This window comes from Homo sapiens, chromosome 4 (genome assembly GCF_000001405.40).
Source record: "Homo sapiens chromosome 4, GRCh38.p14 Primary Assembly".
Taxonomy (NCBI): domain Eukaryota; kingdom Metazoa; phylum Chordata; class Mammalia; order Primates; family Hominidae; genus Homo; species Homo sapiens.
Window position 1 is genome coordinate 134,912,698 of NC_000004.12, and position 17,528 is coordinate 134,930,225.

Sequence of the window (17,528 nt, forward strand, 5' to 3'; positions counted from 1 at the left end):
AAATGATGTTTATCACTCAATAATTCATGCTCAATTGTGTGACATTTGAAACTTCGAAAAGACTTTAAGAGGAATCTGAAAATGATGTGAAAGATTATCAGTCCCTTCTTGGCCAGTTTCCCAAGAAATAACAAAAAAATTTAATCTCTTTTCTATAAAGAATTTTAAGTCCTTATAGATTGAAAAAAGTCGCAAAGACACAAGAATGAAAGCTCATGATGCCAGGGCCATATCAGTCCTAAAAAAAAAAAAAAAAAAAAAAAAAAAAGGAATTGAATTGAATTAATGAAGATGCACTAAAAGAAATAGGGGAGGAGATAGGAGTCACAATGGCTAGACCGGATAGTGTATATTTAATTTACTTAATTTAAATTTACTTAATTTAAGAGGTTAATATTGGGATGACCTGGACAAATTTGAAGAGAAATACTTTGCTTTAATAGCTTTATTTCAAATTTTTAAATATTTGTGAAATAAAATATACATGTCAAAAAGTACCCAATATTTACATAAATATATATTTTAATAAATGGATGTAGAGGAAATACCTATTAGTCACTACTGTATGTATTTTCAATGTTGCCGACAATATTTAATATATTCTACCCCACTTTTAAGGAAATGAGTGATTTTTAAGTACCTAATAAACTGTAAGTTTACATCAAATGATACACTTTGGTGTATTAAAAGATAATAGAGTAATGGATTGACATAAAAAATCCAAATCAGTTAAATAAATACATTTGTGTCAATTCATCTGACACATTTTTCATTGAAACAACTGCCTGAAGTATGCCCCTTTTAAGGGAATAAGCTTTATCAGGTAGCATTTTTGCTAAAAGGCTACATGTTTTAATATATCATACTTTAGCATTCAAATGAATATAACTAAATTTATCAGACATTTCTTTCTAGTTTCGGGTAGCTCTAGAAAAGTTTATTACCTGCAAATTAACTGGAAACTTTTAAATATTATCAAAAGACTGACTTGTGTTGAGTACACTAACATTATGAAAGGTATGTTGCACTCACGTAATATTTCTTAATATAATCTGTATTTCATTAAATATAAAGAAGGAGAGAAATGTAAAGATGCACTGAATTAAGTCTTTAAAATAGCCAGAAATACACTATATTTAAAAATATTTGCACAATAGTTCATGAGCATAGTATAGCTTCAAGATACCGAGATACTGCCAACATTCTTTGTATTATGTATAATTGTCAAACATTAAATTTGTACAGTTATGTAAATTTGATTATGTACAATTGTCAAACATTTAAAAATTAGGTGATTTGTACCTGTCAAATAAAGGAACCACTTTCGCTGCCACATCAGTAAGATCAACACATTGAACCAGATCTTGGTTCAATGAACCATCTATGCTTTCCTGCATAGATGTGTTCTAGTAATGCCTTTATAGTATATTTAAAACATTTAATATTTCCTCTACCCCTATGTCTCCTAGATGTAACCAAATTAAAAACATCTCTGGCAGTTGTTAGAGGACTGTCCTAATGAAAGGTCATTTTTTCCAAGTTGTATATGTCAGGCCTCTGAGCCCAAGCCAAGCCATCGCATCCCCTGTGACTTGCATGTATATGCCCAGGTGGCCGGAAGTAACTGAAAAATCACAAAAGAAGTGAAAATGCCCTGCCCCGCCTTAACTGATGACATTCCACCACAAAAGAAGTGAATATGGCCGGTCCTTGCCTCAACTGATGACATTCCACCACAAAAGAAGTGAAAATGGCCGGTCCTTGTCTTAAGTGATGACATTATCTTATGAAAGTCCTTTTCCTGGCTCATCCTGGCTCAAAAACTCCCCCACTGAGCACCTAGCCACCCCCACCCCTGCCCACCAGAGAACAAATCCCCTTTGACTGTAATTTTCCTTTATCTACCCAAATCCTATAAAACGGCCCCACCCTTATCGCCTGCACCCAGGTGATTAAAAGCTTTATTGCTCACACAAAGCCTGTTTGGTGGTCTCTTCACACGGACGTACATGAAAGTATATATTTTTTTCTGATCTCATTAATACTTTTAAATAAGGCATATAATTCAGATAGTTAAAGAGGAATTAGTCCTATAACTCCCATGGTGACATTAGAAATGACATTTACACATCTATTTCCCATGAATCGAATGGAAAGTATAACGTATATATCAAGAGATTACATATTTAATGAACATGCACCTACTATAGAGAACATCCTAATAAGCTTTAGTGTGGGCACTCCCCTTCTTAGGGGAATATGAAGGAGGAAAGTCCCCTTAGCAACCTGACGCATGCATTCTGCGCAAGGATTCCCCATGACTCCTGGGGCTTTTGTGGAAAACACTCCTTGGGGAAAACAGAGGAATCAGCACCATATATCAAAGATGAAAACAATTCAAACTGTTTTCTAGCAGCAGTTTAAAAAAAAAAAAAATGCTTGCTTGTTTCATATGCTTTATCTGACCACATTTAAGGTCTCTGAATCATTGCTAATAGTATATAATAATTCCTAAATCTAGAAATCATACTGAATGCTCCCTGACTTTTGTTTGATATATCTGGTGAAGTTGGTTTGAGTTTCTACAAATGTTAATGTGACCAAGGGCCTCTGAAAACATATGAAATTATTGTTTTGATATTATCAAAATTATCACCTGCATACTGTGCATAGATTAAGGAAACATACTATAAAGGAGGCACCGAATTGTTACGGCCCATATATTTCATTTCTGCCTGTGTAAAAAGTGTCTTTTGCTGGAAAATCTGTTACAGTATAATGCATAACTGTGAAGGCAAAGGAGTACTGAGATACATTTATTTCTACACCACTGAAGTGGAACCATCATAAGAAAGCTAGGGGTCTTAACCTCACATGCAGTATAAATGATAAATGTGCCATAATGCTTCCTTCTCATGTTTCCAGTGTCCCATGGCTTTGAGATATATATATAGGGTTATAGGACCCATATCTTAAGATTACTGACAAGACTTCTGGTATGGTACTTTCATATTTTATGACTTATTGAACTATGATTTTAAATTTGTTCAGCATATCGACATGTTAAGTGAAGAGACCATAATTATTTTTCTTTACACTTCACTGAGTTGTGTATCATTTCAGAATAACATCACGTACACAGGCATGACAAGAGTTCTGGCTTTAAATCTGCATTCATCAGAGAAAACAAAACAATTAAAATAATTATTCCCCCAGTGCCTTAAAACTAAGGAGATGATTAAAAATAGCTGTTTGTGAACAAGTGAATATGGGGGAATCTGTTTACTGCATATAGCGAACCTTAAAGGAAGTCCTGCATGCTGTGTGCCTGAAGAGATGTGTTAGAAGGACTCATATTCAGTCTAGATTAGCAAATAAAAACTTTTATGAAAAGAGGTTAAAGAACTTATGTGTCCAGGTGTGCTAATTTAGGATTATTACAGAGTTCAAAACACTTAGTTGATTTTTTTTACTCATCCTGAATGTTTCGGTGGTTTTTTTTAATGCACAGTCCATAAAAAACACTATAACTGCTTATGATGCTACCAGACAACCTACATTTCTACTGGTTGCCATATACTTCCACATATGTACAACTGCATATGTATGAATGTAACCTATGAAATTCCTCTTGAATTTTGGTCTCAGTATCCAAAATGTGATATCTTTATCCTTGGAGATACAATTCATTGAGAAAAAACTATCAGAACTTTTAGTATAATTCTAATCTAGAAAATATACAGATTGCCTATGGGATTCTTACTTAATCTGAGTGTAATTGGAATTATATTATCTAATGTTAACTTAGTTAACTATTATAATTTTATCCAAAGGTATTAATAGGCTTCTGGAAAGTAAACAAAACCCAAATATAACGAAGTATTGTAAATACAAAGAAGGGTACAATGAACAAATTAGCAAACTGAACATTCTACTGCCCCTAAGGTCCTGATCTAAAGCCTTATATTAGTTATACTCCCAATTCTTAGTCCTTTAATACCTGTTTTTCTCCTTCTCTTATTCGGGCCTTGTGTCTTCCATTTAGTTTCTCAATTCATACAAAACCACATCCAGGCCATCACTAATCATTCTACATGGCAAATGTTCCTTCTAACAACCCCACAATATCACCTTTATCCCAAAATCTTTCTTCAGTTTAATCTCTCCCACTCTAGGTTTCCATGCTGCCCCTAATCCCTCTCGAAGCAGCCCTGAGAAACATTGCCCATTATCTCTCCATACTACCCCAAAAAATTTTCACTGCCCCAAAACTTCATCACTCTTTTATTTTGTTTTTCTTATTAATATAAGAAGACAGGAATGTCAGGCATCTGAGCGGAAGCTAAGCCATCATATCCCCTGTGACGTGCACGTATACATACAGATGCCTGAAGCAACTGAAGAACCACAAAAGAAGTGAAAATAGCCAATCCCTGCCTTAACTGATGACATTCCACCATTGCGATTTGCTCCTGCCCCACCCTAACTGATCAATTGAATTTGTGACATTCCTTCTCCTGGACAATGAGTCTCAGGAGCTCCCCACTGAGGACCTTGTGACCCCCACCCCTGTGAGCAAGAGAAAACCCCCTTTAACTGTAATTGTCCACTACCTACCCAAATGCTATAAAACTGCCCCACCCCATCTCCCTTTGCTGACTCCTTTTTCAGACTCAGTCCACCTGCACCGAGGTGATTAAAAAGTTTTACTGCTCAAAAAAAAAAGTAGAAATGATGATCTATGAACCATGTTTGACAAGAACTCAGGCAAAACATCTACAAATATTATTATTTGAAATGTGCAATCATGTCTGTTTTCACTAAGGATAAAACTCACCTTAAGTATTTTGTATGCTTTTCGTTCATGCAAAGACAACTTCCAAATTTGCTGACCTTCTTTATGATGAGTGCCTCTCATTCATATTTTTTCTAGTGAATTTTAAAGACACAATTATTCTGTTCCTTTAACATAAAATGATATTTTAAAACATAAGTGAAATAATACCTTAAGGGAGAAACTAGTTTTCTTTTTACCCTGTGTTATTTAGAGTCTATTTGAGCACATTTTCATTGGAATACTATTTTGTTGCCACAGACAATAAAGTGTGTTACATACTGTTGTGGGTTGCTGAATTCTGTCCCTCAAAAGTTACTAACATCTTAACCTGCAGTACCTGTGAATGTGATCTGATCTGGAAATAAGATTTTTGCAGATGATTAGGGTAATTTGACGTTATTAGAGTTGGCTGTAATCCAATATGAGCATGTATTTATAAAAAGGTACACTTTGGACAAGATACTGATACACACAGGGAGAAGATGATGTGAAGACAGGGAGAACACCATCTACAAGCCAAGGAATGCCTGAAAGTACCAGAAGCTAGGAGAGGCATGGAAGAGATGCTCCCCTGCAGCTCCCAGAAGGCAACAACACTGACAACATTTTAATTTTGGATTCCTACCCTCCAGAACTGTGAGACAGTACATTTCTGTTAAGTTATCCAGTTTGTGGTACTTTGTTACTGCAGCCCTAGAAAACTAATACTCATAAAACCTCACACATGGATACGTTATTTAAAAGCATGGAGGCAACATAGCTAAGTTATTTAGTTTTTTGAAATATTTTTGATGGATTTTGAGATCATTTGCTTAACATGTATGAAACATAATGCGAAACATAATGCTTTTAGACTGGTGTGCAGGAATAATTTACAGTATCAGAAAAGACAGATATTGAGTAGTTCAATTATAGTAAGTAATTTGCATGGGATTACAAGATGAGAATCTTATTTCTTTAAGTGCAGACATGATCTAGTTTTCTTATGTGGACTTACATATTACTATGAGATAGCTTTTTGTCCAAGGAAAACAAATATGATCAAAAGTTAAAATAATTTCAAATTAGCATCTTTGATTCTCTGAATCACAAAAGATGAAATTACAACTCAAAAGTTCTTACTACTACTACTAAGTCTTCTAAGTGCTTTTAAAATTCATTTAATCATTTAAATATTTCTATGAGGTTGGTAACATTATTATTGCCATTTCATAAAAAGGGATTCAGATACAGACAGCATTGTAACACAGGAAGTACATACAGCAAGGAAGTGGAATTCCTACCCAGGCACTTGGGCCTGGCCCAGTGTCTCTGCTCTCTATCATGAAACTGTTCAGCCTATCGGTAGACTAATGTATTTAGTTAATTAATTACGTATAAAAACCATTAATAAATATCATAAATTATTTACATTAAATCTTTCTCTCAAACTTTTAGTTTTTATTTTGTGTGTTATAATGTACATACTACTCCAGAATAGAAGTATATGTAAATAACCTACATTTCGGAAGTTAGATTGTAAACCATCTAAACCACCTGTGGCTGGTAAAGGGAAACCTATCAGAGCCTTTTAGTTCACAACACATTTTTCCTCTTTTTGTTTTTTACTTTTCTTTCCTAATCTTCTACGTTTCTATTTCTATTATATTCTTCTCACTATCTAAGGGGAAATATGCATTTATATAATACAGTTTAATATATTTGTTATAATAATACACAAATATCTGTATAAATGCATAAAATACAAATATATATTTGTATCATATGTATTATATAAAACAGTTTAATATATTGAAATAAAATTTAATTAAGGTGTAATTTTATTTTTAAAGAAATCAAATGCTTGAAGAGCCAGTGATATGTAATGTTTTCACAGTAACATATATAAAGAGAATATTTGTTTAAGTTCCTTTCTTTATTGCGGTGTTTCAAAACCAGGCTAAGTAGTCATGTCTATTCCTCATACTCACTGAAATAGTTTTTCTATTATAAGGCATGAAATTTTATTTTAATTCATAGCTTTATTTATGTACACATTTCACTATACAAAATGCTCTACCTTCATGCTAAAACATGTTCTGTTAAGTAGTGCTCAGATAGTTAAGAATATATTACAGTAAAACAATATTTACTAAATATGTAGAAAAAAGAAAATGTTTTTAAAGCTTCATTTTTTATTTCTATTATTTTGATGTAGAGAAGAAGCAAAGAAGAGGTCCATTGTATATAACCAGAAAGCCTCTACTATTATTATAATAAATAGCTTTTTTACAATAGATTTTAAAATATTTATATTATTATTTTTATATGCTCTAGAATTACCATTTTTATATAACTTAGTAACTTTATTAGAAAATAAGTACTAATTACTTTCATAGAAAAGTGATAGAAATTCTAAAATAATTTTTACATTGTATTTTTCTTTTAGCTTTCTTCTTTCTTGCTCAATCTTTCTTTCTCCTTGCAACTCCATACTCCCCAAACTTGCACTGCATTAAAAAAATGAAGCTATTACTTGATATCAAGAAAAATGAGAAGCCATATCCTTTCTTGGCTCAGAGAAAAGGAGAGAAGAGTATTCCTTCCTGAGAATTTTCAGCTGTGATAACAGTTTCTACTGCTGTAAGTTTAATCGGTTGCATAGCAGCTTACAGTAAAATGGGAATAGTTAATTAGAAGGGAGATAGCGACAAGTCCCTCAGGATCTTCACGCCTTAATTCCCTAGACCTCTAATTTAGCTTCCAGAAATTTATTTTATTAACAGTGAGCGCTCCCTATCGGCAAGCCACAAATATTCTGTATCCACGATATTCATTGGTAACTAACTAATGCTTTTTATATTATTTAGATTATCTAATATTGCGTTCAAATCTACTTAATTCAAATTCTACTAAAATGCTTTAATACCAGGTGTTCAAGACTGGGTGTTCAGATTTTTCAAGCATTTTATTAATATCCACTGGCCAAGAAAATAATCATATTGGAAGAAATGGGCTGGGCGTGGGGGCTCACCGCTGTAATCCCTGCATCTACGGAGGCCGAGGCGGACGGATCGCCAGAGGGCAGGAGTTAGAGACCAGCATAGACAACGTGGTGAAACCCCGTCTCTACTAAAAGTACAAAAATTAGCCAGGTGTTGTGGCACACGCCTGTAATCATAGCTACTAGGGAGGCTGAGGCAGGAGAATCGCTTGAACCTGGGAGACGCAGGTTGCAGTGGGCTGAGATCGGGCCACTGCACTCCAGCGTGGGTGACAGAGGGAGACACCGTCACAAAAAAAAAAAAAAAAAAAAAAGATTGGGAAAAATGGAGTTAGATGTAGTGTCAGAATAGATCTGTTCAATAAATCTTTTTATGCCTTTAGAAAAACTAGAAAAATATTTGTCATCATATTTGTATTTTTTTTCACAACTCATTTGTGGAATCCTCACACGATGTCTACTTCTGATCACCCTATGTAAAATTTCTCTCCTTACCATCTCATTGTTTTATCCTCCTTTTCTTTTAACAGTAGGTGACACTTCAAAAATATTAAATTATGTAAAAATTTCTCAGGTATATTGCCTCCCTTAGTGTGATTGCAGACACTAGGAGGCTAGGAATCTGTTTCATTAACTAATCTAAGCCAAGTGTCTAAAATAGGACCTAGCACTATGAGGCATTCAATGTATACTTGTAGAATGTATCAGATCTAGCTTTAATGGTTTTAACTTGGATATTTTAGTTTTACTAGATAATCACATTTATTTAGAGCTTACTTTACATCATCTACCATTCAACATATTTCAAAATATCAATTTACAAAATAACCAAAAAAGTTAAAGGCGGGTGCAATGATTACCCATATATTACAAATAGAAAAACTAAAGTTTAGTGATTTGTGTTCTCTATGTTCGATATATGTTTGATATATGTTTAACAAGTATAAAAAAAAAAAGATCTTGACTTGTAGTGTTTACGCCACTTTCTATGGTGCAAACATTTTTAACCACAGGTGATTCAAGCTATGAACATGACATTCACTGGCTCACAAAATTTCAGTAGGATCACAAACACTGATATTAGCCACTGCAAGCACTCCACTGTGAAAAGTTACATATAAATTATCTAAGATGGCTTAGTAAGAAAGAGAATATCTAGGTTATAAAATCAGAAAAATTGGCAATGCCTTCCGGGTGCAGAGTCTGGTGAGAATTTTGAATAATATTCTCAATTTATATCAGTTAACAAAAGGTATAATTAATCTTTTTTTCTGAGAATTTCCTTCCAAAATACTTACATTTATTTTTCAACTAATTGTCATCCTGGTTACTGTAGTTACTAAATTAATATTCTTATTTTAATTATTAATATTTTATTGGATTGCATTTGTCTATAAAATATAACAATGTTGGATTGATAAAGTCATTTTCCTATTGCAGATTTTCTTTTCCTTTGATAAATATTGCTCTACCTAGCAGTAATATTTTGAGGATTGGGAGAACTATCTATCTTAAAGGATATATTGGATTCATCCATTTGAAATCCCCTAGCACATATTGCAGTAGACTAAAGTAGGCATTTTGAAATTTGAATCAAAATATAAATAGCAGATAGTCAAATTAAATCTCAAGGGTGAGAAGATGGAGGACATTTGAATCATATTACCAGATGTTCAGCCTCTACTGTGAATTCAAAAACAAGAAAAAAAATGTTAACTGGAAATATTTTGAGGTCATCATATATTTTAAAAATACATTTTAGATCTTTATATCATAAGCAAATGCAAGTCTTAAATTAAAAATGTATTAAAACCAAAACACTGAGAGAAAAACTATATAAATAGCTTGATTTTCCAGACTTATAAAAGGATCTTACCTCTCATAGAACTGACTCTTCATTCTCTTTGATTTTACATGGCAGATTTCTATTATTCAGTATTTCAACTATAGGCACAATAACCAACTCAAGTATTGAAAATTCAATCATTCCATTTTAGTAAACTTCAGTTCCTATGATCTAATGCATTAATGGTTAGACAGAGAGAGAGTTCAATATTAAATCCTTTTTTTTTTCATTCAGTTTCAGGTGGTTCTATTTCCAAAACTATTGAAGCAAAGGCATTAATTATACATTTCCATTATGACAGAGCCAACATCAGCAGTCACTAAGGCATAATTTCTTTAGGAGGAGATGCAGCCTGTTTTCTGATCAAGTTTCGTTTCCCACAGGGAGGCATCAGTCTTATGTTACATAGCAAGCAGGCAAGAGAAGGGAAGCAAATTATAAGCACTTCACAGGGGAAAAAAGAATGAGGATCTGACTCAGGGCATCCTATTGAAAAAATAAAATTGTCTACTTCTGTTAGTTATTTTGATTCACACACACATGCACACTTATATACAGACTAGACATTCAAGATATTTATGAATTTTATTTATTTTGTTATCTTAGTAGAAATTTTACTTGACATTTTCAGGATTATTTTTTTCTTTTTCTTTCATCTTTTTTTATTATTATACTTTAAGTTCTAGGGTACATGTGCATGACATGCAGGTTTGTTACATAGATATACATGTGCCATGTTGGTTTGCTGTATCCATCAACTCGTCATTAACCTTAGGTATTTCTCCTAATGCTATCCCTCCCCTAGCCTCACACCCCCTGACAGGCCCTGGTGTGTAATGTTCCCCGCCCTGTGTCCAAGTGTTCTCATTGTTCAACTTCCACCTATGTGTGAGTACATGTGATGTCTGGTTTTCTGTCCTTGTTATAGTTTGCTGAGAATGGTGGTTTCCAGCTTCATCCATGTCCCTGCAAAGGACATGAACTCATCCTGTTTTATGGCTGCATAGTATTCCATAGTGCATATATGCCACATTTTCTTAATGCAGTCTATCATTGATGGACATTTGGGTTGGTTCCAAGTCTTTGCTATTGTGAATAGTGCTGCAATAAACATATGTGTGCATGTGTCTTTATTGTAGCATGATTTATAATACTTTGGGTATATACCCAGTAATTGGATTGCTAGGTCAAATGGTATTTCTAGTTCTAGATCCTTGAGGAATCACCACACTGTCTCCCAGGATGGTTGAACTAATTTACACTCCCACCAACACTGTAAAAGCGTCCCTATTTCTCCACATCCTCACCACCATCTGTTGTTACCTGACTCTTTAATGATCGCCATTCTAACTGGCATGAGATGGTATCTCATTGTGGTTTTGATTTGCATTTCTCTGATGACCAGTGTTGATGAACATTTTTTCATGTGTCTGTTGGCTGCATAAATGTCTTCTTTTGAGAAGTGTCTGTTCATATCCTTTGCCCACTTTTTGACGGGGTTGTTTATTTCTTTCTTGTAAATTCGCTTAACTTCTTTGTAGATTCTGGATATTAGCCCTTTGTCAGATGGGTAAGTTGCAAACATTTTCTCCCATACTGTAGGTTGCCTGTTCACTCTGATGGTAGTTTCTTTTGCCATGCAAAAGTTCTTTAGTTTAATTAGATCCCATTTATCAATTTTGGCTTCTGTTGCCATTGCTTTTGGTGTTTTAGTCATGAAGTCCTTGCCCATGCCTATGTCCTGAATGGTATTGCCTAGGTTTTCTTCTAGGGTTTTTATGGCTTTAGGTTTAACATTTAAGTCTTTAATCCATCTTGAATTAATTTTTGTATAAGGTGTAAGGAAGGGATCCAGTTTCAGCTTTCTATATGTGGCTAGCCAGTTTTCCCAGCACCATTTATTAAATAGGGAATCCTTTCCCCATTTCTTGTTTTTGTCAGGTTTGTCAAAGATCAGATGGTTGTAGATCTGTGGTGTTATTTCTGAGGCCTCTGTTCTGTTCCATTGGTGCATATATCTGTTTTGGTACCAGTACCATGCTGTTTCGGTTACTGTAGCCTTGTATTATAGTTTGAAGTCAGGTAGCGTGATGCTTCCAGCTTTGTTCTTTTTGCTTAGGATTGTCTTGGCAATGTGGGCTCTTTTTTGGTTCCATATGAAATTTAGTTTTTTCCAATTCTATGAAGAAAGTCATTGGTAGCTTGATGGCGATGTCATTGAATATACAAATTACTTGGACAGTATGGTCATTTTCACAATATTGATTCTTCCTATCCATGAGCATGGAATGTTCTTCCACTTGTTTGTGTCCTCTTTTATTTCGTTGAGCAGTGGTTTGTAGTTGTCCTTGGAGAGGTCCTTCACATCCCTTGTAAGTTGGATTCCTAGGTATTTTATTCTCTTGGTAGCAATTGTAAATGGGAGTCCACTAGTGATTTGGCTCTCTGTTTGTCTGTTATTGGTGTATAGGAATGCTTGTGATTTTTGCACACTGATTTTGTATCCTGAGACTTTGCTGAAGTTGCTTATCAGCTTAAGGAGATTTTGGGCTGAGATGATGGGGTTTTCTAAATATACAATCATGTCATCTGCAAACAGGGACAATTTGACTTCCTCTTTTCCTAATTGAGTATCTTTATTTCTTTCTCTTGCCTGATTGCCCTGGCCAGAACTTCCAACACTATGTTGAATAGGAGTGGTGAGAGAGGGCATCCTTGTCTTATGGCAGTTTTCAAATGGAATGCTTCCAGTTTTTGCCCATTCAGTATGATATTGGTTGTGGGTTTGTCATAAATAGCTCTTATTATTTTGAGATATGTTTCATCAACACCTAGTTTATTGAGAGTTTTTAGCATGAAAGGATGTTCAATGTTTCACAAAGGGCTTTTCTGTATCTATTGAGATAATTATGTGGTTTTTGTTGTTAGTTCTGTTTATGTGATGGATTAAGTTTATTGATTTGCATATGTTGAACCAGCCTTGCATCCCAGGAATGAAGCTGACTTGATCATGGTGGATAAGCTTTTTGATGTGCTGCTGGATTCGGTTTGCCAGTATTTTATTGAGGATTTTTGCATCAATGTTCATCAGGGATATTGGTCTAAAATTCACTTTTTTGGTTGTGTCTCTGCCAGGCTTTGGTATCAGGATGATGCTGGCCTCATAAAATGAGCTAGGGAGGATTCCCTCTTTTTCTATTGACTGGAATAGTTTCAGAAGGAATGGTACCATCTCCTCTTTGTACCTCTGGTAGAATTTGGCTGTAAATCCATCTGGTCTTGGACTTTTTGGTTGGTAGGCTATTAATTATTGCCTCAATTTCAGAGCCTGTTTTTGGTCTATTCAGAGATTCAACTTCTTCCTGGTTTAGTCTTGGGAGGGTGTATGTGTCTAGGAATTTATCCATTTCTTCTAGATTTTCTAGTTATTTGCATAGAGGTGTTTATAGTATTCTCTGATGGTAGTTTGTATTTCTATGGAATCAGTGGTGATATCTGCTTTATCATTTTTTATTGCATCTATTTGATTCTTCTCTCTTTTCTTCTTTATTAGTCTTGCTAGTGGTCTATCAATTTTGTTGATCTTTTCAAAAAACCAGATGCTGGATTCCTTTATTTTTTGAAGGTTTTTTTGGGTCTCTATCTCCTTCAGTTCTGCTCTGATCTTAGTTATTTCTTGGCTTCTGCTAGCTTTTGAGTGTGTTTGCTCTTGCTTCTCTAGTTCTTTTAATTATCCTGTTAGGGTGTTGATTTTAGATCTTTCTAGCTTTCTCTTGTGGGCATTTAGTGCGATATATTTCCCTCTACACACTGCTTTAAATGTGTCCCAAAGATTCTGGTATGTTGTTTCTTTGTTCTCACCGGTTTCAAAGAACATCTTTATTTCTGCCTTCATTTCGTTATTTACCCAGTAGTCATTCAGGAACAAGTTGTTCAGTTTCCATGTAGTTGTGCGGTTTTGAATGAGTTTCTTAATCCTGAGTTCTAATTTGATTGCACTGTGGTCTGAGAGACAGTTTGTTGTGATTTCTGTTATTTTAGACTTGCTGAGGAGTGCTTTACTTCAAATTATGTGGTGAATTTTAGAATAAGTGCAATGTTGTGCTGAGAAGAATGTATATTCTGTTGATTTGGGGTGGAGAGTTCTGTAGATGTTTGTTAGGTCCACTTGGTGCAGAGCTGAGTTCAAGTCCTGGATATCCTTGTTAACCTTCTGTCTCGTTGATCTGTCTAGTATTGACAATGTGGTGTTAAAGTCTTCCATTATTATTGTGTGGGAGTCTGAGTCTCCTTGTAGGTCTGTAAGGACTTGCTTTATGAATCTGGGTGCTCCCATACTGGGTACATATATATATATAGGATAGTTAGCTCTTCTTGGTGAATTGATCCCTTTACCATTATGTAATGGCCTTCTTTGCCTCTTTTGATCTTTGTTGGTTTAAAGTCTGTTTTATCAGAGACTAGGATTGCAACCCCTGCTTTTTATTGCTTTCCATTTGTTTGGTAGATCTTCCTCCATCCCTTTATTTTAATCCTATCTGCACATGAGATGGGTCTCTTGAATACAGCACACTGATGAGTCTTGACTCTTTATCCAATTTGCTGGTCTGTGTCTTTTAATTGGGGCATTTAGTGCATTTGCATTTAAGGTTAATATTGTTATGTGTGAATTTGATCTGTCATTATGATGTTAGCTGGTTATTTTGCCCAATAATTGATGCAGTTTCTTCATAGCATCAATGGCCTTTACCCTTTGGCATGTTTTTGCAGTGACTGGTACCAGTTGTTCCTTTCCATGTTTAGTGCTTCCTTCAGGAGCTCTTGTAAGTCAGGCCTGGTGGTGATGAAATCTCTCAGCATTTGCTTGTCTGTAAAGGATTTTATTTCTCTTTCACTTATGAAGCTTAGTTTGGCTGGATATGAAATTCTGGGTTGAAAATTCTTTTCTTTAAGAATGTTGAATACTGGCCCCTTTCTTCTGGCTTGTAGGGTTTCTACAGAGTAATCTGCTGTTCCTCTGATGGGCTTCCCTTTGTGGGTAGTCCGACCTTTCTCTCTGGTTTCCCTTAACATTTTTTCCGTCATTTCAACCATGGTGAATCTGACAATTATGTGTCTTGGGGTTGCTCTTCTCAAGGAATACCTTTGTGGTGTTCTGTGTATTTCCTGAATTTGAATGTTGGCCTGCCTTTCTAGGTTGGGGAATTTCTCCTGTATAATATTGTGAAGAGTGTTTTCCAACTTGGATCCATCCTCCCCATCACTTTCAGATACACCAATCAAACGTAGATTTGGCCTTTTCACACAGTCCCATATTTCTTGGAGGCTTTGTTAGTTTCTTTTTACTCTTTTTTCTCTAAACTTGTCTTCTCACTTTATTTGATTAATTTGATCTTCAATCACTGATCCCCTTTCTTTCACTTAATTGAATCGGCTATTGAAGCTAGTGCACACATCACGAAGTTCTCATGTCATGGTTTTCAGCTCCATCAGGTCATTTAAAGTCTTCTCTATGCTGTTTATTCTAGTTAGGCATTCTTCTAACCTTGTTTTAACCTTTTTTCAAGCTTCCTTGCTATGACTTAGAATATGCTCATTTAGCTTGGAGAAGTTTGTTATTACCGACCTTCTGAAGTCTGCTTCTATCAACTCATCAAAGTCATTCTCTGACCAGCTCTGTTCCATTGCTGGTGAGGAGCTGCAATCCTTTGGAGGAGAAGAGGCACTCTGGTTTTTAGAATTTTCAGCTTTTCTGCCCTTTTCTATCTTTATCTTTAGATAAAACCATCTTTGTGGTTTTATCTACCTTTGGTTTTTGATGTTAGTGACTTACAGATGGAGCTTTGGTGTAGATGTCCTTTTTGTTGATGTTGATGCTATTCCTTTTCGTTTATGTTGATGCTATTCCTTTTTGTTTGTTAGTTTTCCTTCTAACAGTCAGGTCCCTCAGCTGCAGGTCTGTTGGAGTTTGCTGGAGGTCAACTCCAGACCCTATTTGCCTGGGTATCCCCAGAAGAGGCTGCAGAACAGCAAATATTGCAGAACAGCAAATACTGCTGCCAGATTCTTCCTCTGGAAGCTTTGTCCCAGAGGGGCACCCACCTGTGTGAGGTGTCTGTCGGCCTCTACTGGGAGGTATCTCCCAGTTAGGCTACATGGGGGTCAGGTACCCATTTGAAGAGGCAGTATGTCTGTTCTCAGAGCTCAAATGCCGTGCTCAGAGAACCACTGGTCTCTTTGGAGCTGTCAGGGAGGGATGTTTAAGTCTGCAGAAGTTTCTGCTGCCATTTGTTTAGCTATGACCTGCACAAAGAGGTGGAGTCTATAGAGGCAGTAGGCCTTGCTGAGCTGTGGGAAGCAGTTTGAGCTTCCCGGCCACTTTGTTTACCTGTTCAAGCCTCAGCAATGGCAGACACCCTTCCCCCAGCCAGGCTGCAGCCTGGCAGGTCAGTCTCAGACTGCTGCACTAGCAGTGAGCAAGGCTCCATGGGCCTGGGACCCACTGAACCAGGCACGGGAGAAAATCTCCTGGCCTACCAGTTGCTAAGACTATGGGAAAAGCACAGTATTTGGGTAGGAGTGTCCCATTTTTGCAGGTACAGTCTGCCATGGCTTCCCTTGGTTAGGAAAAGGAAATCCCCCAACCCCTTGCACACTTTCTGGGTGAGGTGATGCCCTGCGCTACTTTGGCTCACCCTCCGTGGGCTGCACCCACCATCCAGCCAGTCTCAATGAGATGAACCAGGTACCTCAGTTGGAAATGCAGAAATCACCCGTCTTCTGCATTGATCATACTGGGAGCTGCAGACCAGAGCTCTTCCTATTCAGCCATCTTGGAATGGAAAAACCTCTGTTTCTTTTTTCTAAAAAATGTAATTATTACCTCACAAGAATTATTTTCATAATCAAATAGTTATTCATTGAAACTAAGTAAAGCAACTGTTTGATTTTGCTGTACTCAAAAATATTGTGTACTTAACTTCATTAACTAACAAAATATTGCCGTAAAAAGTAGCTCTGTTAATTCTTCAGGCTAATAAGTGACACAAAAAAGTGCAGGGTAAACTCTTAGAAGATAACATAAAAGAAAACGTAGACGACCTTTGGTATGACAATGAGGTTTTATTTGCAAAACAAAAGGCACAATCTGAGAAAGAAATCATTGATAACTTGGACTTTATTATACATAATTTGGAAAAAAATTATCTGTTCTACAAACCCCACTGTTAGAGAATGAGAAGACAAGCCACATACTAAAAGAAAATATTTGAAAAAGAAATAAAAGATAAATGATAGTCATCCATAATGTATAAAAGAACTCTTAAAACTCAACAATAAGAAAGTGAGGCTGGGCACAGTGGCTCACACCTTAATCCCACCAGTTTGGGAGGCTGAAGAGGGCAGATCACTTCAGCTCACCAGTTTGAGATCAGCCTGGGCAGTGTGGCAAAACCCCATCTCTACAAAAAATACAAAAATTAGCCAGGCGTGGTGGCACACACCTGTAATCCCAGCTACTCTGGCGGCTGAGGTGGGAGAATCACTTGAGCATAGGAGGTGGAGGTTGCAGTTAGCCGAGATTGCACCACTGCACTCCAGCCTGGGGAAGAGAGCCCAATCTTGTCTCAAACAAACAAAAACAGAAGAAAAGAAGAAGAGGACCAACCCAGTAAAAAAATTAGCAAAATATCTGAACAGTGTGCTCAGATTGCAAATAAGCATATGAAAACTTACTCCATAATATATGTCATCAGAGAAAGACATATTAAGGCAACGAGATACTACTACACACCTATGAAATAATCAAAATCCGAAACACTGACAATACCGAATGCTGGGAAGAATATGGAGAAACAGAAACT

General features: G+C 35.9%; 2 annotated features.

Annotated features, from left to right (window-relative positions):
- Nucleotides 1,433-1,986: an enhancer, noted in NCBI's record as "NANOG hESC enhancer chr4:135835285-135835838 (GRCh37/hg19 assembly coordinates)". NCBI's record gives its function as "activates a minimal SCP1, AML or CMV promoter by ChIP-STARR-seq in primed H9 embryonic stem cells {active_cell/tissue: H9 hESC(primed)}" and the evidence as "EXISTENCE:reporter gene assay evidence [ECO:0000049][PMID:30033119]".
- Nucleotides 3,940-5,139: an enhancer, noted in NCBI's record as "P300/CBP strongly-dependent group 1 enhancer chr4:135837792-135838991 (GRCh37/hg19 assembly coordinates)". NCBI's record gives its function as "activates an origin of replication core promoter dependent on BRD2, BRD4, P300/CBP, MED14 and CDK7 cofactors, with strong dependence on P300/CBP, by STARR-seq in HCT116 cells {active_cell/tissue: HCT116}" and the evidence as "EXISTENCE:reporter gene assay evidence [ECO:0000049][PMID:35650434]".